The 22,234-nt window shown below is 47.4% G+C and overlaps 1 protein-coding gene and 1 long non-coding RNA gene across 7 annotated transcripts in view, besides 1 other annotated feature; both read left to right on the forward strand.

Moving 5' to 3' along the window:
• Window positions 1-22,234, forward strand: part of TMEM132B (transmembrane protein 132B) — a 475,992-nt gene that overhangs the window by 95,405 nt on the left and 358,353 nt on the right. The window contains exon 2 of one of the 6 annotated variants that reach the window (XM_047428241.1): window positions 2,113-2,313. The exons of 3 other annotated variants lie outside the window; for them this stretch is intronic. The gene's annotated coding sequence lies outside the window, so the exon portion shown is untranslated. Of the gene's footprint in view, window positions 1-315; window positions 2,314-22,234 lie in introns of those variants that run through there. 2 more of the 6 variants (XM_047428240.1, XM_047428239.1) reach the window with 2 other exon arrangements.
• Window positions 2,321-8,610, forward strand: LOC107984445 (uncharacterized). The gene is made up of 3 exons (XR_001749366.2): window positions 2,321-3,254; window positions 6,904-6,965; window positions 8,222-8,610. It is a non-coding gene; the product is annotated as an uncharacterized LOC107984445 (long non-coding RNA).
• Window positions 3,396-3,445: a silencer, noted in NCBI's record as "silent region_5082". NCBI's record gives its function as "represses an Ori minimal core promoter by ATAC-STARR-seq in GM12878 lymphoblastoid cells {active_cell/tissue: GM12878}" and the evidence as "EXISTENCE:reporter gene assay evidence [ECO:0000049][PMID:35858748]".

The raw sequence follows: 22,234 nt of genomic DNA on the forward strand, positions 1-22,234 counted from the left end.
GGCCGAGGTGGGCGGATCACGAGGTCAGGAGATCGAGACCATTCTGGCTAACACGGTGAAACCCCGTCTCTACTAAATATACAAAAAATTAGCCGGGCGAGGTGGCAGGCGCCTGTAGTCCCAGCTACTCGGGAGGCTGAGGCAGGAGAATGGCGTGAACCCGGGAGGCGGAGGTTGCAGTGAGCCGAGATTGCGCCATTGCACTCCAGCCTGGCCAACACAGGGAGACTCCGTCTCAAAAAAAAAAAAAAAAAAAAAAAAAAAAAAAAAGAGAGACTTTTGAAGCTTGGTGAGAGTGTGCTCCAATTGCTTATTGGTGCCTGTCACGGACATGGAAGTGGTGCTGTGTGCATCACATTTGCCATCCTTGGTTTGGCCTGTCTTTCCCATCTGAGCTTGCCTTCTTACTACACCCTTCTGTAAACCCTTTGCTGCACTCACACTGCCCAGCTCCCTGCCCCCTGCGATGCTGGATGCCGTGTGCTGCCTGCCTGCCTCTGTGCCCTGGTGCCCCCGCCTTCCCCGGCCTGGGACACTCTCCCTCACTCCTCAGCTCATCCAGGCTTGTCCTCTTCTGCAAGGATCAGTTCAGACTGCCCTGCAGGGAAGCTCCTCCAACCCACCCCTGCCCTAACCATTCCACAACCAAAGGATGCCATCTGTTTCTGACTTCTCATAACACTCTCCGCGTCTTCCATGGCCTGCACACACATCTCATGGCACCTCATGTGGGCACTGGTGTCCTTTCCTCATGCCTATTGCTGACCTCTTAGTGACTGTGAGGCCCAAGGGCAGCTATGTTGTCCCCTCCCCTTTGTTGGGGACAAAGGGAATATGATTTTGTGATTTAATTGGCAGAGCTTGGATGTGGCAATCAGAGATCCTAGCTAGGGCTCCCGGTGCTGCTGCTTGGGGATGTGTGACTGTCCCTAAATCTTTTGACCTCTCTGAGCCTCAGATTCCTCTTCTAATAACACAGAGTCACTGGGAGCACGCAGGGAGATGTGTGTGCCTGGTGCATTCTGAGCTCTGGGTGCATAGTAAGCACTTGGCTTAATACCTGGTAGTGTTCTCTTTCTTTCCTTCCTGGCCCTGGTTCCTTGAACAACCATTCCAATGTGGTCCTTATATCTTTCTTTGGGACGGCCCTCCAAGTGTTTGTTGGGAGTCCAAGTGGTACAGCCCGAGAGCTTGGTGCAGGAGAAAGCGGGTATTCTGTTCACTCATGGAAAGACCCAAAGATCATGGGAACCGCAGCATCAAAGGCAGCCCCACTTTAGGCAGCAGCTGTGTTCGCGCACAACTGTATGCAATTTCAATTTGATTAGCTTTAACATGAGCCCCCTTTTACAAGTCCCAGGGGACTTGCCAATTAATGATCTGTTTGGCAAATCCTTTTGTAAAATGCAGAGTCACCAAATTGTTCTGCTTTGTGGTTCTGGATTCGTACATATTAGGTTTTCTTCAAGTAGGTACTATTTTAGCAGTGAAACCTCCTTATATTCTAGCCAAGTTTTTGAGCTTCAGTAGTCAAAATTACTATTTATTTAAATCTGTTGAATATGTATTATATTCCGGAAAGCTATTTTCAACTCATGAAAATTAAGTGAGAAAACTAGAGTTACCAGGGTCCGTCTTCTGTTCCTGCTGTGTACCCGACTCTCGCTGGCGGTCCTGGCAGATGCTCAGCTGTCCTTGATAAAGGAACAGGAGTGCTAAAAACCAGGAAGATGCTGAGAACAAGTAATCTGGCCCGGGAAACATGTAATTACCATGAGTGCCAGTCTCTGTAATGAAGCGTTGATAGGGCCAAGTCCAGAGCATAAATTACCAGGGAAGGGGGCAAGGTAAGATGTCGCGTCCAACAATTTAGCCTCCGAGTAGCTTCCGGCAGCTGTCCTGTAATGCGTCTTGTCTGGTGCAGACCAAGGCAGATGCATTCCAGTGCATTCCACCTCAAAGGGAGATAAGCATGGAAGGAGTCAAGTGAGACTGTTGGTCTGTCTGCCACTCCCTCTGGAGAGATACTAGGAGTTTCAGTAGTGTTTGCTTGTTGTCGCAGAATCCTAGATTTCCAGGACAGACTTTGAGATCAACCCTCTCATTTTACAGATAAAGGAATCGAGGTCCAGGAAGGGGAGTAGAATTACCAAAGCCTCCAAGTGAGTCAGTAGCCATGGTTGGTACTTGAACTTCCATCCTTTGACTTGGTTTACCTTTGTTACCCCACTCAGTTCTACCCCAGGATGGCCAGAGGAGACCAGGCTTGACTGACAGCCCTGTTTCCTAGGGGATGTCACTGTCTAGGTAGAGGTAAGAGATTTTTCCTTCTATGGTAGGTGATTTTTTGTCTTATTATTTGTTTAGTGAATTTTTCTGCATAGATGTACATGTACATAGCTCAAAATTCAAAAGGGATACACTGATAATTCAGTCTCTCTTCCTCCTACACCTGTTCCCCAGCCTCCCTCACCTCCCTCCCAGATGCAGCCAGTGTTACATGAATCTTTGCAGAGATTTTTCTATGCATGTATGAGCCATCACCTATTTTTGATTCATTCACTCGTTCAGCAACTATTTGTTGAGCACTGTGCATGTGCTGGGCTCTGCTGTAGGCACGGAGCTGTAGCAGTGGACAGAACAAAGACCCCGCTGCCGTGGAGCAGGGGTTAGACCGCAAAGATCTCTCTTCCTCCCCCCTGCTCCCTTCTTATACCCCCAGTTCTGTGCTTTTGTTAAACCTGAACTTTATATCTTCAAGGGTCTTCCATGCCAGTTTGCGTAGCATTGTCTCTTTTTAATGATGGTGTTTCATTTCATCACGTGGATATACCATAGTTTCTTTTGCCAGTATCTGGTGGATAGACATTCAAATCGCTTCTGCGTTTTTTTTATTTGCTGTTATAAACGATGCTGCAGTGTTCTTGTATACATTTCCTTTTGCACTTGTGAGAGTAGATCTGACAATTTATTGGCCAATGTAGCTAAAATATCCAGAGAAGTGGACAGGCAGGGCCATATTCAGGTGCACGAACCATGTCATTTGGACCTGGTCTGTGAGTCCTGCTTTGCTCTGTGTTGGCTTTATTTTCAGAGATAAGAAGGCTTATTAAGTCCTTATTCTATTATATTAACTACACACCTACAATGTGCCACATGTCTTAGATGCTGGAGATATAGCAGGAAGAAAACACACCCAAATCCTGGCCTGCATGGAGCTGATATTGTAAGATACCCCACACCATCAGTCAAAGGTTTGTATTCTCCCAGGTTGGAGGGAAAAAGAAAACCTCCTTCCTCCCCATAGTAACAAGTCTCAGGATTGGATCTCATTGGACCAACTTGTGTCATGTGACAATCTCTGACCCAATCGTTTTGGCTGAGGGCAGGAGTACAATAAACTGATTGGTCAGGCCAGGGCCTCTGGAACCAGAGGGTGGAGTTAACCTTCCTAAGAACCGGGTGGACTGAGGTTGAGTGAGGGATTTCCGCAAAAATGAAGAGTGAAGATTTCCTGGCTAGCACTAATGTTAGCTACAATGGTAGATAGAGTCAGAGGCAAAGACATAGCTAAAGGAACTACAGGAAAGAGCCAGAAGGGAGAGAGGAAGCCAGAGCTGCGTGGTCGTGGCTCAGCGTCTAGGCCCCAGTGAGTAGTCCTGGGCACTCCCAGCTGAAGCCTCCCTTTATTTTGCTGAGCTCTGGGCATCCATCCAGCGCTGGACTGAGCCAGTGAGAGAGGGGATTCACACCATTCAAGCATGATGTGGAGATTTCAAAGCACATGGTGAAATTTCTTTCCCAAAGTGAGTCAGACCCAGTGTTCACCAGGTGAGGCCACCTGGGCACAGGTGGTTCCCACAGAAGGAGTCCTAGTTCCCTTGGGGCTGCTCCCAGGTCTCCTAGCCCCCACCCATACCCCAGATCCCTGGTAGCAACATGAGGGAGACCCCAGGTCTGGCCGCTGCCCCATCATACTCCAGGGCCTGGCCTGGGGCGTCGCCAAGTGGCCAGGGGGCAAAGCGTTTCCCAGCAATTGAGCAGGGCCTGGGGAGGTAGAGGAGAACCTGGGGTGGTGGGGGGCATCATTTAACATTAGAGAAGGTAAACATCCTTGACAGGGAGTTTTAAGGTGCTTTCTGCGCCTAGACACCCTGTGCAAGGGTAAGAGAGGCAAGAGCATTTCACTCAGGGCCTATTTACTGAGGACCAGCCATGGGAAACAACCATGCTCAATTCCCCATTAACTCGAAATGAATCATCCTCATATGTTTATCGAGGTCACCCTAGCGCCAGGTACTTTACATGTATACCTTTCATCCTCACCACAGCCTTCTAAGGCAGGGATTATTTTATCTTTGTTTGGCGGATGAGAAGAGAGAAGCACAGAGAAGTTAATTCACTTGCCCAAGATCACACAGCCAGTAGCGGGAGAACCAGCACATAATCCCAGGCATTCTGCCTCCGGAACTCATGCTCTTGGGTACAGCCTTCTTCTGCCTTTGTGTGTCAGGGAGAGCACTGGCACAGAACTAAGCCCTGCTGCTTGCTCTGACACCAAGTAACTGAATGATCATGGGCAACTGTCATTGAATAGTGCCGTGCCTCAGTTTCTACATATAGAGAATGGGATACCAGCCTGACTCTGGGTTCTTCAAGGATCTGGTGAAGTATTTGGCAGGAACACCTTTTGGTGGGAAAATATAATAAAATAATAAATATTAGTATAATAAAATAATAAATATTAGTTTTATATCACTATAATAAGTTACCACCAATTTAGTGGATTAAAACAACAGAGATAAATTATTTTATATAATAGTTCTGGAGGTCAGAAGCCTGCAGTCAGTTTCACTGGGCTAAAATGAAGGTGTCAGCAGGGCTGTGTTCCTTCTGAGGCTCTAGGAGAGAATTCCTTTTTTTTTTGTTTTGAGATGAGGTCTCACTCTGTCGCCCAGGCTGGAGTGCAGTGGGACAATCTTGGCTCACTGCAACCTCTGCCTCCTGGGTTTAAGTGCTTCTCCTGCCTCAGCCTACCGAGTAGCTGGGACTACATGTGTGTGCCACCACACCCAGCTGATTTTTTACTTTTAGTAGAGACGAGGTTTCACCATGTTGGCCAGACTGGACTCGCACTCCTGACCTCAGGTGATCCACCCTCCTCGGCCTCCCTAAGTGCTGGGATTACAGGCGTGAGCCACCAGGTCTGGCCAGAATTCCTCTTTTTTTTTTTTTTTCAGCTTTCTGGAGGCTGCTTGCATTCCTTGGCTCATGGTTCCTTCCTCCATTGTTGAGGCCAGCAGGGTAGCATCTTCAAATCAGCCTCCCTCTCCATCTCTCTCTGTCTCTGTTTATCTCCCCGGCCTTGCCCCGACCTTTTCCTCCCTCCCTCCTCTGCTTCTGTGGCCCCGTCTCCTCTGATTTGGACCTCCCACCACCCTCTTATAAGAACCCTTGTGATGACATCATGCCCACCTGGACACTACAGGATCATCTCCCATCTCAAGATCCTTAATTTAATCATATCTGCAAAGTCCCTTTTACCATGTAAGGTAACATCTTCACAGGTTCTGGGAATTGGGACGTGGGCATCTTTTGGGGGAGGCATTTAATTCTGTCTACTACAGTACACATAATTTAAATTATTTCATTCTCTAGCACCTAAGTAACTATTTTTAAAGGTACCATTTCCAAGCTTTTAAAGCACATGTAGACCAATACTCAGATGAAAACAAAAAGGGCCTTAATCTCCCTGCCCAAATAACCTCAAGGGATGAATTTTTTCTGTTTTGACATTTAAACAGAAAATGCAAGTAATATTAGTAGAAGGACAAAAAACGCAAACCACAGAATGATGCAAAACAAAAATGAAACCTCCCTGCATAGTCTCTCTCCAAAGGTAACCACTTTACAGTTCTAGAGGATCGCTTCCAGAACAAACAAATGCACATGCCAGAATTATACCTTCCCTTCTAAAAAATACTAGGGAACACACTACTTACACTATTATGCATCTTGCTTTTTTCACATTATTCTATACCTCTTAGATCTTTGTCCCAGCACATCACATAGAGATCCCTTTCTGTCTTTTTTTTGAGACAGTGTCTCACTCTGTCGCCCAGGCTGGAGTGCAATGGCGCGATCTCGGCTCACTGCAACCTCTGCCTCCCGGGTTCAAGCGATTCTCCTGCTTCAGTCTCCTGAGTAGCTGGGACTATAGGTGCCTGGTACCACCATGTTCAGCTAATTTTTTTGGTATTTTTAGTAGAGACGGGGTTTCACCATGTTGGCCAGGCTGGTCTTAAACTCCTGACTTCAGGTGATCCGCCAGCCTTGCGCTCCCAAAGTGCTGGGATTACAGGTGTGAGCCACTGCACCCGGCCTCTTTCTGTTTTAAAGAGCTGCCAGCTACACCTGTAATCCCAGCACTTTAGGAGGCTGAGGTGGGCGGATCATGAACTCAGGAGTTCAAGACCAGCCTAACCAACATGGTGAAACCCCGTCTCTACTAAAAATACAAAAATTAGCCGGGTGTGGTGGTGCACGCCTGTAATTCCAGCTACTCAGGAGGCTGAGGCAGGAGAATAGCTTGAATCCCCGAGGCAGAGGTTGCAGTGAGCCAACATCGCGCCACTGCACTCCAGCCTGGGCGACAGAGCAAGACTCCATCTCAAAAAAAAAAAAAAAAAAAGAGCTGCTAGCTTTGCAGCAGGGATGGTGCATCACTTATTCACTTATTTTTGTAACTCATCTCATATTGCTGGTTACTTTGGTTGTTTCCAGCTTTTTTGTTACTATGGGCATGCTGTGTGGGTATTCTTGGAATCACATCTAGGACCATGTTACGCTTGTATTTTTAGGTTTTTTTCTTGGCATTTGGGGTAAAATAGTTTTTTGTTGCAGGGGGCTGTTCTGCGCATCGTGGGATGTTCAGCAGCATCCTGGACTCCTCCCACTAGATGCCGGTACCACTCACTCCCCAAATTCGTGACAACCAGATATTGCCAGATGTCCCCCTGGGGGCAAAATCATCCCTGGTTGAGAACTTTTGTTTTAGGGGTATTCCTCACAGTGGGGTGCTGGGTGGGAGTTTTCTTGTAAATTTACCCCAGGCTGCTGATGGTAGTTGGCTGGTGGGCTGTGGCCAAGCTCAAAGGGCAGGCGGTGCCATGCAGAGGCAGCAGGGGACTGTGGCTTGGGGTTGGCTCGTAGGCAACGCTGAGTTTTCTAAACCTTATTGCAAGGAGTTAAGCAGTTACCACACCTTACCTATTCTTAAGAGAATTTGTCCAAGCTTTGATGGGCTTGACCTGGAGTGTTCTCAGCAATGTGTGTCTTGTACTTCTGGCTCAGGGGTTCTGACCCCTTCCTGGCTGAGGTGGGTTCTGAGTCCCATACTCTCTGCCAAAGGAATCTGAAGTATTTATATATTTATAATAAGCAAACTCACACAAACACTGAACAACCTGGCCTTTCAAGAAGGTTCTTCTCTTCTTCCTAAAATGAAGATAGAATTGTTATTTCAAAAGCGGTGGCACAAGGCACCCTTCTGGTGCTTTCCTTGTGTTAACTTCTTTAATCGGCACAAGAACCCACCTGCCATGATCATCATCCCCATTTTACAGGAGAGAAAACTGAGGCTCAGGGAGTACACATGATTTGCTCCAGGTTGCATCACTCTTAAGTGGTGAAGCTGGGATTTGAAACCAGGAAGTCTAGTTCTGGCATGGGTTCTACCCACCCCTGTATTTGGAGGTCCACACTATTTGACAATGGAACCCAGACAGAGAATAACAATAGTGGCATGGATCACACACCTGCCACATGCTGGGCTGGTTCTAGCTGCATTACACGTGTTAGCACATTTACTTCTCAGAGCAGATGCATAAGTAGATACTTTCATCAGCCACACTTTGCAGACAGAGTCTGAGGCACAGAGACATCAAGTCACTTGACTGAGGTCACACAGCTAAGAAGTGGCCAAACATGGATCTGAGCCCAAGTGGCTCCAGGGTGCATGGGCTCAACCATCGGGCCACACTGTCTCTGGACAGAGGGAAGCAGTGTTTCTCATGCTACAGCAGTCTCAAAAGTCCTCACCTTGGGAAGGTTTCCAAGGCTTTTGGACAATTTATCCCCTAGTCATGCTGCTGACATATCTGGGCGCTCTTCAATCCCCCAATTATAATCCATCATGCTTTATGTCCCCCTTAAATCAAAGATATACCATGTCAGCAAGAGGAAGCCTGGATATGCCGTGTGTGTTTTTCTAGTGGTGATTGTTTCTTCATTAGAGCCTACAAAGTCGGTATGTTTTAAAATCCAAAACTGGAACAAAATGAAAGCCGTCCGTGAATCTTGGCTGAGTTTGGGCCGTAATTCATTCAAGTAGCTCATTACGCATCGGAATTACCCAACTGCCGAAGCTTCTGAACAGCAGGCAATTCTAGAGCTTCACTTTCAACTTTCTGCTCTTATTGATTTATGAAACCTTACTACCTTCAAAATCATGAAATATTCCAGGCATGCAAAGAGGCACAGAGAATATTTTAATGAATATCGTGCACCCACCACCCAACCGAGGAAATAAAGCCTGACAGTTACAATCGATGCTCCTGTAGACTCCTCCCAGATTTCCTTCCTTCTCGCTCTCCCTAGAGATTACCACTGCCTGAATTTAGCAATTTTTCTTAAGTTTGCTATCCATATATGTAATCATAAACTACATGAGGCATTGTGTGTGTTTAAAAACTTTATATAAATGGCATCTTGCTAAACATATCCTTCCGCAATGTGTTCATCTTGCCACGTTGGTGGGACTCATCTGTGCTGATCTATATTGCTGTAGTTTATTTCACTGCTGCATAGTATTCTGGTATATGAATATATCACGGAATATTCATCTGTCCTCCTGCTGATGGGCATTTAGGCTGCTTGCTGTTTCTTGCCACGGTAAACAATACTACAGTGAGTGTCCTGGTACATCTCCTTGTGTACAAATGCAAAACTTCCTCCAGAGTGTATACTTATGATTGGAATCACTGGAGTTCAAGGCATGTATGGTAGACAGAATTGAAGGTACACATGCCCTGTGTAATCTCCAGGACCGTGGATATGAGGAATATCGCTCCTGAGACTGGATTGTGTTTTATGGCACAGTTGAATTTAAGATAGAGAGAGTGTTAAAGACAAGATAATTGTGTCTCCATACCACTTAATCCTTCCCCGTCCCCCAGCCAATTCATACGTTGAAATGCTAATCCCCAATGCGGTGGCACTGGAAAGTGGGGACCTTAGGAAGTGATTAGATCATAAGGGTGAACCCCTCATGATGGGACTGGTGCCTTTATGAGAAGAGGTTAGAAGGCTAGCTAACTCTCTCTCTGCCATGTGAGGACACAGTGAGAAGGTGGCCATCTGCAACCCAGAAGAAGGCCCTCACCAGAACCCGGCCAAGCTGACACCTAACCTTAGACTTTCAACCCTCCAGAATTGTGAGAAATAAGTCCCTGTTGTTTATGAGCCTTGAGTGTGTGGTACTTTGTTATAGCAACCTGAACTAACAAAGTGAGATTGTCCAGATGGGCATGATCTAATCACTGGAGCTCTTTAGATGAAAGTCTGTTGGCCAGAGACTGAGAAGTTAGAGGGGTTTGAAGTGCTAGAGGGAGATTCTCCATGCTGGCTCTGAAGATGGAGGGGGCATGTCACCAAGAATGTGGCTGGTGTCTAAGAGCTGAGAGCAGCCCCTGGCTGACAGTCAGCAAGGGCATGAGGATGTCAGTCCTCCAAGCGCAAGGACCTATACTCTGCCAGCAACCTGAGTGATCTTGGAAGAGGATCCTGAGCTCCAGATGAGACCACACCTCAGGGCATGCCTTGACTTCATCCTTGCAAGAATCTGAGCAGAGAACCCAGACATGATGTGTCTGGACTTCTGACCTATGGGAACCATGAGACATATTTGCTTTTTTTAAAAAAAAATTGTGGTGAAATATCCATAACATAAATGTGCCATTTGTAGAGGTACAGTTCAGTGGCCTTAAGTCTATCCACATGATTATGCAACCATCAGCACCGTCTATCTCTAGAACCTTTTCATCTTCCCAAATTGAAACTCTGTCTGTATTAAAATTCACATTGTTTTAAGTTGCTAAGTTTGTGGTAATCCATAAATAGCAACAGATAATTAACACAATATCCAAAGCCATATTTTTTCTAACAAATTATTTTATCAGAGTAGTCTCACTCATTTGCCTATGGTATCACTATTCAAGAATTTCTAGGATACATTTATTACCAACATATCAGAGAAGAACTAAAATAGCTCAACCTTTGTTTCATTCTCCTGTGGAGGTTTCAAGCAGGTAGTGACTTCAGAAAGAAATGGGAATAGTTTCTACCTAGATTAAACCTTCTAATTCTCCTCCCCCTCCCCCATTACATATATAATTTGTTGCTTAGAAACACCTTTATTTCCCATTTTATTTTTAAAATTGCAGTGACAGAATGGAAGGGAGGTGTTAGCTTGAAAGGTTTTACACACTGGAACAAATGTGAAATGTTTCCATTTCTCTGGTTTTGGAGCTGGTGGCCTACAGCCAGGGAAGATTTGGTTTGATTAAAAAAACATTTTGTACTGCATTGGTTGAGTTTGGTCATGAAAGTAAGGACTAGAAAGTGACTATAATGAGACAATGTAGCAGCTACAAATCTTCTGTTTGCGAGTGACAGAAACTCAACTCAAAACTGGCTTGCACAAAGAAAGAGATTGGCTCACAAAACTGCAGTATCTGGGAGGGACAGCTTCAGGTATGGCTAAATCCAAGGACTCAAATGAAGACATTAGGACTTGGTCTCTCTCCATTCCTTGCCTGTTTCCAGTTGGCCTCTTTCTCTGGCTACCCCTTCAGGAGTGACCTGTGACAATCCAAATTTATGTCATTCGTATAGCTGGTGATGAAAAGGAGGCTTCTCTTTCTCAGTCGGTTCAGCAGAAATGACAAGACTGAATCTCACTGGATTTCCTTGGATCATGTACCTGCCTCTGAACTCATTCAGTGGCTAGAAGTTTGCACAATGCTGATTGGCCAGGTCAGGGTCACATGACCACCCAAACCATGTGGGCTCAGAGTGGTTTCTCCAAGGAAAATTGAGGTGTTGTTAGCAAATGTATGGGGAATGGTTGCTGGATGTGCAAGAACAATGGATATTTAATTGAGCGAGGAGTTCTTAAGCCCAGGTCATGGGTTGGATTCTTTTGGGAGCTGGGGAGCTCAGTGCTATGGGGCTGGCTCCTTTCAACACATGCCATTGACATAATGGAGACATGGGGATAAATTGATGGCCAGGGATGTGGTACAGTCTCTCCCTGAGACATTGGCACAATTTGTCAGACTCCCTGTTCACCTGTGGTTGCTCACATGGACAAGAGGACCTGCTGCCCTTGTATTACTTTATTGAGTCAATTCTTAGTAAAGCGTATTGCAGCAGTTTTATTTAACTTTATTTTTTATTTCAACATTTAGATTCAGGGGGTACTTGTGCAGGTTTGTTACATGGGTATGTTGTGTGATGCTGAGGTTTGGAGTACGATTGATCTTGTCACCCAGGTTCTAAGCATAATACCCAGTAGGTAGTTTTTCAGCAATTGTTCCTCTCCTTCCTCCCTTGAATAGGCCCCAGCGTCTATTGTTTTCATCTTTGTGTCCATGTCTACCCAGTGTTTAGCTCCCACTTATAAGTGAAAACATGCAGTATTTGGTTTCTGTTTCTGCATTAATTTGCTTAGGATAATGGCCTCTAGCTGCATCCATGTTGCTGCAAAGGACATGATTTTGTTCTTTTTTATGGCTATGTAATATTCCATGGTGTATATGCGTCATGTTTCCTTTATCCAGTCCACCACTAATGGGCACCTAGGTTGATCCCATGTATTTGCTATTGTGAATAGTGCTTATTGCAGCAGTTTTAAAAACCTGTCACAAAGTTTTGACATTCCACCCCTTGAGAGGTGTGGGGGTCTATGTCCCCTCCCCCTGAATTGGGGCTGGCTTGTAACCGCTCTGAACTATGGAGTGGCACTGTGTGGCTTCCAAAGCTATGTCCCTAAAGGCCATGCAGCTTGGTTCTCTTAGAATGTTCCCTCTTGAGATACTTTCCTCCTGGAGCCCAGCTGCCATGCTGTGAGGAAGCCCAAGCCACCCCGTTTGACAGCTGAACCCAGCCTTGCAGCCAGCAAGCCTAGAGGTGACCTGTGAGTGAGAAAGCCTCCAGGTGAAGGAAGTCCCAAGCCTCAGAGTCAGCCTTGTCACTGAAGTCTCTTTTGTTGAGGCCTCCACCACTGTGAGCATAGACAGCCCATGCCCTCTGTGCCTGATCTGAATTCCCATTTCCAAGCTCCTGTGAGCTATAATAAACTGGCTTTTGTTCTGTATAACTGCCTATATACCACTACATTTGGGGTGGTGTGTTAGGCAGCAGACAACTGGAATAGGCATGCTTGCATTGCTGGCAATATTGGTTAGATGCAACAAGCCAGACCTGGTAGAGATTTAAGAGTTACTCATGCACTGTTGGACCTGGTAATTCCACTGCTGGAAATCTATCAAAAGGAAATAATCTCAAATGGGAAAAGTGGATTAAACATTATGCATGGAGATGTTCATCACAGAACTATTTATAATGGTAGAAAATTTAAAACAACCTAGTTTTCCAATGATGGGGACATGGTTCCTTGATAAAATAATTATGGCTGCCACTGAAGGTCTAAATAAGTGCCAGGCACTGCAGTAAGAGCTGCCTATATATCAACTACGAATCTTCCCAACAAACTTTGAGGTTATTATGACCTCAATTCCCTACCATACAAACGTGGAAATTGAAGCTTAGAAAGCTTGTCACTTGCCCAAGGTGGTAAGCAGCCAGTCTGCTGACTCCGAAGTCCTGCTGGTCACAGTATACATGATATTGATTTAAGGCAGGAGAATGATTGAGAAAATCTGTGGAAGAGCCATGCCATGGCATATTAGGTAGTCTTTATAAATAATTGTATAAAGAATTTTTAATAATAGGAGAAAGTGTTTATGCTAAGTGGCAGAAAAAATGCAGAATGAAAGTGGTGTATACAATAAAATATCAACTTATTGAAACTATGCATAAAGAAAAATGCAGGAAGCATGTACAACCTTAACGGCGGGTGGTAGGATTGTGTATGTGTGAGCCACTCTAAGCTTTTCTGTATTTTCAGTTTTTCTACTAGAGGCAAAGGCTGCAGAAGAAAAAAAGCACAAAAAGGAAGTGAACAAAAGTTAACGAGAGTCAGCCATGATTAAACAGCAAAATGACCAAAGAGAACTAAAGTTGCCAGTTAGTTAAAAAGGAAAAAAAGCTCATTAGTGTGATAATTATCTTGTGCTTCTGTTCTGACAAGTCACCTGGGAGAGCACTCCGTGGCTGGGCTGGGAGTGGGAGAACCACAGAGCTCTGGGTGGGGCCCCTTCTTCCAGCCAGGGATCTATGAGATGTTCGAGGGAAGGTCTGTGAGCGTCTCCTATGGCCACTCACACAGGGATCCAGCCTGTTGGGGCAGGAGCTGGAAGGGAACGTGGACATGAAATGATGGAACAGAAACACTGTATGTGGTGGCTTACAGGAGAGACTCTGGGAAGTGTGGGTCACATAGGCCGGCTGTCTCTCCTCCATGAAACCTGTGTGTGTGTGTGTGAGAGAGAGAGAGAGAGAGAGAGAGAGACAGAGACAGAGACAGAGACAGAGACAGACAGACTTGGGTGTCTGGGGCAGGCTGCTTTGTTGTGATGATGTCTTGTATCTCCTTAGACATCTCCTTTGAGTTCATTCTCAATAGTGTGCCAAAATCACAGATGTTGCCCAAAGCGTAGGAGGCAGACCATGTTGTACTTAAAGCCAGGACTTGAGTCTGAGACCTGACTCTACTGTGCATCGGTGGCTGGGCCTTGGGCAAGACAGAGCCTTAGTTTTGCCTTCTGTGGAATGGGAACAAGAATGATGCCTTATTCACAGGTTCATCTCCAGGATTAAATAAAACGATGCATAACACAATCAGGCGGCACTTAGCACTGTGGCGAAATAGCTCTTGCTGATAGTAGCACTTAGAGTAACAGGTTCTGATTTTAATTGAACACTTTATATGAGTATGCTTTTTCTCCTCTCTTCACGTATCAATGACATTTCTTTTTACACTTAAAAAAAGAAAAGGTTGCCCTTGAGTTTGTACTATACATTCACAGCCACTCCAAGTCAGAGGGAGCCTTCTGATACCCGAGTCTGATCCTCTCCTTCCTCTGCTCAGAATCCATAAGCACACCTTATCTCATTCCGATAAAAGCCGAAGTCCTTATGGTGGCCCCACGGCCCAGTACAGCGTGGTCCTGGGCTTCTCCTGATCCCATCTCCTTCTGCCTATGCCCTGCTCTGGCCACACTTGTCTCCTCACTTTTCTTCCCACCCACCGGGCACCTCCCACCTCCGGGCTTTTGTTCCCGTTGTTCCCTTGCCAGGAGTGCGCTTCCCAGGTATCTGTTTGGCCAACACCCTCACATCCTTTTAAGTCTCTGCCCAGATCCCGTCTTCCCAGGATGGCCTTCCGGGACCTCTCTACTTCACACTGTCTGCCCAGATCCCGCCTCCCAGGATGGCCTTCCCGGACCTCTCTGCTTCACACTGTGACCTGCCAATTGGGCACCACCTGCCCTGTTCCCCACTGCTTGTATCACCTTCTGACAAACTGGATAATCTACTTGCTCTGTTTATGATTTGCTGTTGGTCTCCCCCAACAAGAACATCCATCCCATGAGGGGAAGAATGGCTTCTCTGCCGTATCTCAAATGCTCGGCATAGAACCCAGCACCTGGCGGGGGCTCCTAACTGTCACCTGGGTGAATGAATGCTCCAGTGAGCATTGGCTGCAAAGTGTCTTTCCATCCCACTCCTTTATCACTGTGTGAAGAATCACCGAACTGGGACCAGGCTGTCTGGGCAGGAGGACTCCTCAGGCTCCTTGTGCTACGTTAGGGATTACAGCAAAAGGAGCCGGGGAAAGCTGTTAAACTGACAGCCGGGGCCTGGTAATCTCTTAACCGTGCACAGGAGGCCTGCAGATTCCCAGCTGCTGTGGAAGATGCATGCTTGTCCCTAACAGGTCTGCACGAGCAGCTGTGAGTGAGCTCGTCCATCCGTCCTTCTGAGAGAGCAGAGCAGTGGGAAGAATGGTCTTGGTCTTGCTGGCTCTCTGTTCTCTAGGCTAAGGGGAGGGTGACGGAGCTGGAGGTTGCTGTGCTGGCCACAGGTCCAGAGACTCTGGGTTTCCTTGGGGGGGTCCTGCCTGGGTCAGCATTGGATGGCTTTTCCTACCCAGTGAGACAACAGGGTGGATGGGAGGAGGAGGGAGCCTTTTTCCCCTTGGAAGGGGATCGTCTCATGTCCCGAGGCAGGCACACGGTGGCACATGTTTCAACCTCCCTGCTGCATGGTGTAGACCTGACAGGTGATAGGGTGACAGGTGTGGATGGGCCTCTGAGCATTGTTATTGGCCCACTGTCACCAGAAGCCCTTCTCCTGGGGTGCCCTGTGTGGAGCGTCCTGGGGAAAATGGCCAGCCTTCTGGCTTAGTGCTGTTCCCAACACCATCCATCCTCCAAGTTTTAGAAAGCAGAGCAGGACCACGCTTCAGCGGCCACCTATTGCTGGTGATTCATTCCATCAGCATTTATTGAGCACCTACGATGTGTCAGGCATTACGCTCAATACTGGGGCTAAAAGGTGGACCTCACTTCCCTGCAGCTAGGTAAGTGGAAGCAAGAATTGAGATGCTCAAGGGTGAGGTCCTAAATATTCACACCCAGTTCAGTGCAGGTGCTGGCCAAGCAGACTGCTGGTGCTCTAGACCTCCACCTGTGATTTGGAGGAACATGAGCCCTGGGAGGAACAGGGACAGGATCTTCTAGGAGTGAGTGGACCCATAAATGAAGGGGGAGCCCTGGGGTGGCTCATGGGTTACATCCCATTTCCTCCTGCCTACTCCTTCACTCTGCTGTGGTTCTTCCTCCTCTCTCTTTCTCCCACATTATCCACGCTCCTTTCTCCGCTGGACCATTCCCAACAGTAAACAAGCATGCTCGCCTCCTAAGAAATACCTTTAGGCTTGGCATGATGGCTCATGCTTGTAATCCCAGTGTTTTTGGAGCCTGAGGCAAGAGGATCACTTGAGCCCAGGAGTTCGAGACCAGTCTGGGCAACATAGTGAGGCCACCCCATCTCTACAAAAAAGTTAAAAATCAGTTGGGCAAGGTGGCGCGAGCCTGTGTTCCCAGCTACTGTGGAGGCTGAGGTGGATCACTTGAGCAAGGATTCTAGGCTGCAGTGAGCCATGATTGCGCCACTGCACTCCAGCTTGGGAGACAGAGTGAGACCCTGTCTCCAAAACACAACAAAACAAAACAAAATGAAAACAAAAAAACCCCAATACCATTGACCAGTCCATCTCCCTCCCACCCACCCAGCAGCTACTGCCAGTTTCTCTACTCCATTTTGTAGGAAACGTTCCTCAAGAGTGTTACATCGGCAGGGCATGGTGGCTTACACCTGTAATCCCAGCACTTTGGGAGGCTGAGGTTGGCGGATCACCTGAGATCAGGGGTTCGAGAGCAGCCTGGCCAACGTGGTGAAACCCCGTCTCAAACAAAAATACAAAAATTAGCTTGGTGTGGTGGCAGGTGCCTGTAATCCCAGCTGCTCGGGAGGCTGAGGCAGGAGAATCACTTGAACCCGGGAGGCAGAGTTTGCAGTGAGCCGAGATCGCGTCACTGCACTCCAGCCGGGGCGACAGAGTGAGACTCTGTCTCAAAAAAAAAAAAAAAAGTGTTACATCTACTCCCTCCCATCACTTATTTTTCTTTTTTCTTTTTTTTCTTTTTATTTTTGAGACGGGGTCTCTCTCTGTCACCCAGGCTGGAGTGCCGTGGCGCGATCTCGGCTCACTGCAAGCTCTGCCTCCTGGGTTCATGCCATTCTCCTGCCTCAGCCTCCCGAGTAGCTGGGACTACAGGCGCCCGCCACCACGCACGGCTAATTTTTTGTATTTTTAGTAGAGACGGGGTTTCACCGTGTTAGCCGGGATGGTCTCAATCTCCTGACCTCGTGATCTGCCTGCCTCGGCCTCCCAAAGTGCTGGGATTACAGGCGTGAGCCACCACGCCCGGCCCATCACTTGTTTTTTAGAGATGAGGTCTTGCTGTGTTGCCCAGGCTGGCCTCAAACTCCGGGCTCAAGCGATCCTCCTGCATAGCTGGGACTATACAGGTGTGCACCCTGGCGCTCTGCTGCCATCCATTCTTTTACCTTGTTCTCTCTTGAACCCGCTTTTATGAGGCTGTACCCCCCACTGTACTATGCAGCAGCTCTTGTCAAAGTCACCCCACTGTCTCTCCAACACTCGGGTCTGTTCCTTTCTCCCTCCCTCCTGGATCTGCTCTTCCCTGGGCCCTGGGACTCATCACTCACTGGCTTACTTCCTGCCTCCCTGGCGGCTCCTCCCAAGCCCCATTGTGGCTCCCCATCCATCTCCCTGACCTTCGGCATCTGGAATGATCCAGGACCTGGTCCTCCAGCCCTTCCCATGTCAATACCTTGGATGGCTGCCTCCAGTCTGCGGCCTTCCAGACCGACTCTGGGCTGATGGCGCCTGCTTCACCCTTCCCTGACCTGCTCAGGAGCTCCCTAGAGCCTTCAGGAGCCACCTCTAGCCCCATGCAGCCTGTGCATCCTTTGGTCTCCCCATCCCAGAAGCAGCACCTCATTGCTCCAAGTGTGTAGACCCAAAGCCCTGGGGCCACCCTTGTCACCGCTTTTCCAGACGCATGTCACCACGTCAGTGTCAGTGTTCACATCCTGTCTGATCCACCAGCAGATCCTGCTGGCTCTTCCTCCAAAGGATGCCCAGAATCTGTACTCTTCTCACCCTGGTCTAAGTGACCCCTCCCACCCTGGTTCACTCTCCTGGACCGGCCTGCGTCCCCCACTTGCCCTGCTGTCTGTCCACACAGAGCTTGTGGGGTTCTGTAAGTTGTCAATCAGATTATGCCATTTCCCTGCTCTCAACTCCCTGCTGGCTTCCTTCCTCACTCAGAGCAAGAACCCCAAGTCCTGCTCATGGCCTGAGGCCCTGCAGGGTCTGGCTCCCAGCTGTTCCTCCCATGCGCCCTGCGTGGGCCGCCACGGGGGCTTTGCACTCGCTGTGCTTGCTGCCTGCAACACCTTCCCCCAGATACCTCCAGGCCTGCTCTCTCCCTTTCTTCACGATCACCCCACCTAAAGGAACCCCTCTCCCTACCCCAGCCACGGCCCTTCCTCTTAGCCTGCCCTTTTGTTCTTTTTTTTTTGGTACATGTAGAGATAAGGTCTCGCTGTGCTGCCCAGGGTGGTCTCCAACTCCTGGCCTGAAGCAGTCCTCCCACTTCAGCCTCCCGAAGCATTGGGATTACAGGCATGTGCCACTGCACCTGGTCTCTTTTGTTCTTTATATCCCTTGTTACAGCCCGACCACCTGACACCCTGACAGAGCCAGAGGCTGTAGGGAAGCTGAGCCAGCCCCCAAGTGGCATCAGATGGCACCTTGGCCCCTGTGTGTGGCCCTAGAGAAGTGGCACCTACCTATCTGCCTACATCCAGAGATCATGTCACTGCAACCCTGCGCCCAGCCCTAGATAACACTAAGGCCCTGTCTGAGCAAAGGGGAACATCTTTGTCATAATAACTACAATTTATAGAGTGCCTACTGTATACCAGGACCTGTTCTGAGCACATCAGGTGACTTGACTCATTTAATCCTCATAGCAACTCCATGAGGTAGGAGGAGCCGTCATTAGCTCATTTTATAGATAAGGCAACTAAGACATAGAGAGGTGGAGTAACTTGCCCGAGGCCACACAGCTGGCAAAGGGCATGGCTGGGATCTGAACCCCGGCCACTGTGCCTCCAGAGTCCACACACTTAGGTGCTGCACTGGGCGAGCCTTGTTCCTTCAGCTGCCTGCAAACAGCCTTACCTGTACTATGCCTGCACTGGGGTGCTTTTGTGATGACAGCTTTCTCGGTGACTTCTGAGGATGGGTTCCCATGGCATATAACTTACAAATAATTCAAAAGGAGAATGTTATGAGGTTGCCTCCATTGCTACGTGACTCTGGGAGATATATATGTATATATATATATGTATGTATGTTGGTATACATGTTGGTATTTATTTAAAAAATTTCTTTAGTTGAAATTTCGAGCATTTGACCTAAGTGGCTGATAATATCTCATAAAAGCTGACATTTGTTAGTGGATTATAATATGTCAGGCTCAGTGCTACCTGCTTTCTGTGGATTATCTCAGAATCCTCGCACTGATCTGTATTTTTCATTTTATAGAGGGATCTATGTGGAGGTGCTGAGTTGTCAAAGGACACTGGCAGAGCTTGATTGCATTCAGGGCTGAATTACTTTGCTAAAGTGGCGGGGTCTATTTCTCTACCCCTTGAATCTGAGCAGGGCTCGTGCCTTGCTTTGGCCACTAGAATTCAGGGGGATGGCCCGTGCACCAGCCCTGTGCCCAGCTCTGAAGACCCTCTGTGTTTCCTCTTTGCCTCATGCTGTCTGCAGCCATGAGGAGAACACACCCAAGCTACCGGAGGATGGAAGGCAAGTGGAGAAGATCCGAGTCGTGCCACCAAGGCCAGTCTAGATGAGCCAAGAGCTAGTAGAGCCCCGGATATTTAAGTGAGTCTGGCTGGGCGCGGTGGCTCATGCCTGTAATTCCAGCACTTTGGGAGGCTGAGGCAGGTGGATCACGAGGTCAGGAGATCGAGACCATCCTGGCTAACGTGGTGAAACCCTATCTCTACTAAAAAATACAAAAAAGTAGCCGGGCGTGGTGGCGGGCACCGGTAGTCCCAGCTATTCGGGAGGCTGAGGCAGGAGAATGGCGTGAACCCGGGAGGTGGAGCTTGCAGTGAGCTGAGATCATGCCACTGCACTCCAGTCTGGGCGACAGAGCGAGACTCCGTCTCAAAACAAAACAAAACAAAACAAAACAAAAAAAGAAAAAATTGGCTGGGTGCGGTGGCTCATGCCTGTAATCCCAGCACTTTAGGAGACCGAGGTGGATGGATCATGAGGTCAAAGAGTTCGAGACCAGCCTGACCAACATGGTGAAACCCTGTCTCTACTAAAAATAAAAAGTTAGTCAGGTGCAGTGGCACGTGCCTGTAATCCCAGCTACTCAGGAGGCTGAGGCAAGAGAATTGCTTGAACCTGGGAGGCGGAGGTTGCAGTGAGCTGAGATTGTGCTGCTGCACTCCAGGCTGGCGACAGAGGGAGACTCTGTCTCAAAAATAAATTAAAAAAAAAATTAGGCATGGTGGTGCTCTCCTGTGGTCCCAGCTACTAGGGAGGCTGAGGTGGGAGGATCACCTGATCCCAGGAGGTGGAGGCTGTAGTGAGCTGAGATCATGCCACTGCACTCCAGCCTGGGTGAAAGAATCAGATCCTGTCTAAAAAAAAAAAAAAGTGAGCCTGGCTGAGACTAAAAGAACTGTCCAGTGAGCCCAGGTGGAATCATCAACCTGCAGAGGGATGTGTTAGACAAATGCTTACTGCTCTAAGCCACTGAGTTTTGGGGTTGTTCGTTATACAGCACTATTGTGGAAAGGGATAGCCAGTACAGACACACAATCTATAACTGGCAGAGCTGGATTTGAACCCAGGCCTGCCCGAATCTAAAGTCTGGGATGGGACTCTGGATTTTCGGTGCTTGCAAAGAGGGCAAAAGGTGTTTTCCCCCTTCTTTAAAATTTATTTTTGTAATATACATAAAATTTGCCACTTTAACCATTTTTAAGTGTAATTCAGTAGCATTAATTGCATTCACCATGAAATGCAACAATCACCTCTGTCTAGTTCCAAAATTTTTAATCATCTGAAATAGAAACTATATCCATTAAGCAGGCTGGGTGCGGTGGCTCATGCCTGTAATCCCAGCACTTTGGAAGGCCGAGGTGGGCGGATCACTTGAGGTTAGGAGATCGAGACCAGCCTGGCCAACATGGTGAAATCCCGTCTCTACTAAAAATACAAAAATTAGCCAGGCATGATGGCAGGCACCTGTAATCCCAGCTACTCAGGAGGCTGAGGCAGGAGAATCGCTTGAACCCAGGAGGCAGAGGTTGCAGTGAGCTGAGATCGCACCACTGCACTCCAGCCTGGGGACAGAGCGAGACTCTGCATATTAAAAAAAAAACAGAAGGGAATTCTGTATCTATTAAGCAAAAACTCCTCATTTCTCCCCTCCTGCCAGCCTCTGATAACCTCAAATCTACTTTTTGTCTCTATAACTTTGCCTATTCTAGATATTTCATATGTAAGTGGAGTCACACAATATTTGTCCTTTAGTGTCCGGCTTCCTATATTTAACATAATGTTTTCCAGGCTCATGCGTGTTACAGCATCTATCAGAACTTCATTCCTTTTTATAATATTCCATTGTGTGGATAGATCACATTTGTTTATTCTTTCATCTGTTGATAGACATTTGGGCTGTTTCCACTTTTTGGATACTATGAGTGATGCTGCTGTGAGCATTCATGGCCAAGTATCTTTGAATATCTGTTTTCAGATCTTTAGGGTCTATAGCTGTGAGTGGAATTGCTGGATCGTATGGTAATTCTATGCTTAACTTTTTGATCAACTGCCAAACTGTTTCCTACAGCAGCTGCACCATTTTATATTTTCGCCAGCAATCTGTAAGGGTTCCAATTTCTCCATGTATTTTCCCAGACATTATTTTCCCTTTAAAAAATTGTAGCTATCCTAGTGAGTGTGAAGTGGTATCTCATTGTGGCTTTGATTTGCATTTCCTTAATGAATAATGACGTTGAGAATTTTTTATGTGCTTATTTGCCATTTGTATATCTTCTGTGGAGAAATGTCTATTCAAGTCTTTTGCTCATTTTTTAATTGGGTTGTTTGTCTTTTTGTTGCTAAGTTGTAGAAGTTTCTATTCTCTGGATAGTAAACCCTTATCACATAGGAATTTGAAGATATTTTCTCCCATTCTGTGAGCTGTCTTTTCACTCTCTTGGTATAGTGTCCTCCAATGTAGCAGTCCCCAACATTTTTGGCACCAGGGACTGGTTTCATGGAAGATAATTTTTCCAT

The sequence above is a fragment of the Homo sapiens genome, chromosome 12, assembly GCF_000001405.40.
Source record: "Homo sapiens chromosome 12, GRCh38.p14 Primary Assembly".
Taxonomy (NCBI): Eukaryota; Metazoa; Chordata; class Mammalia; order Primates; family Hominidae; genus Homo; species Homo sapiens.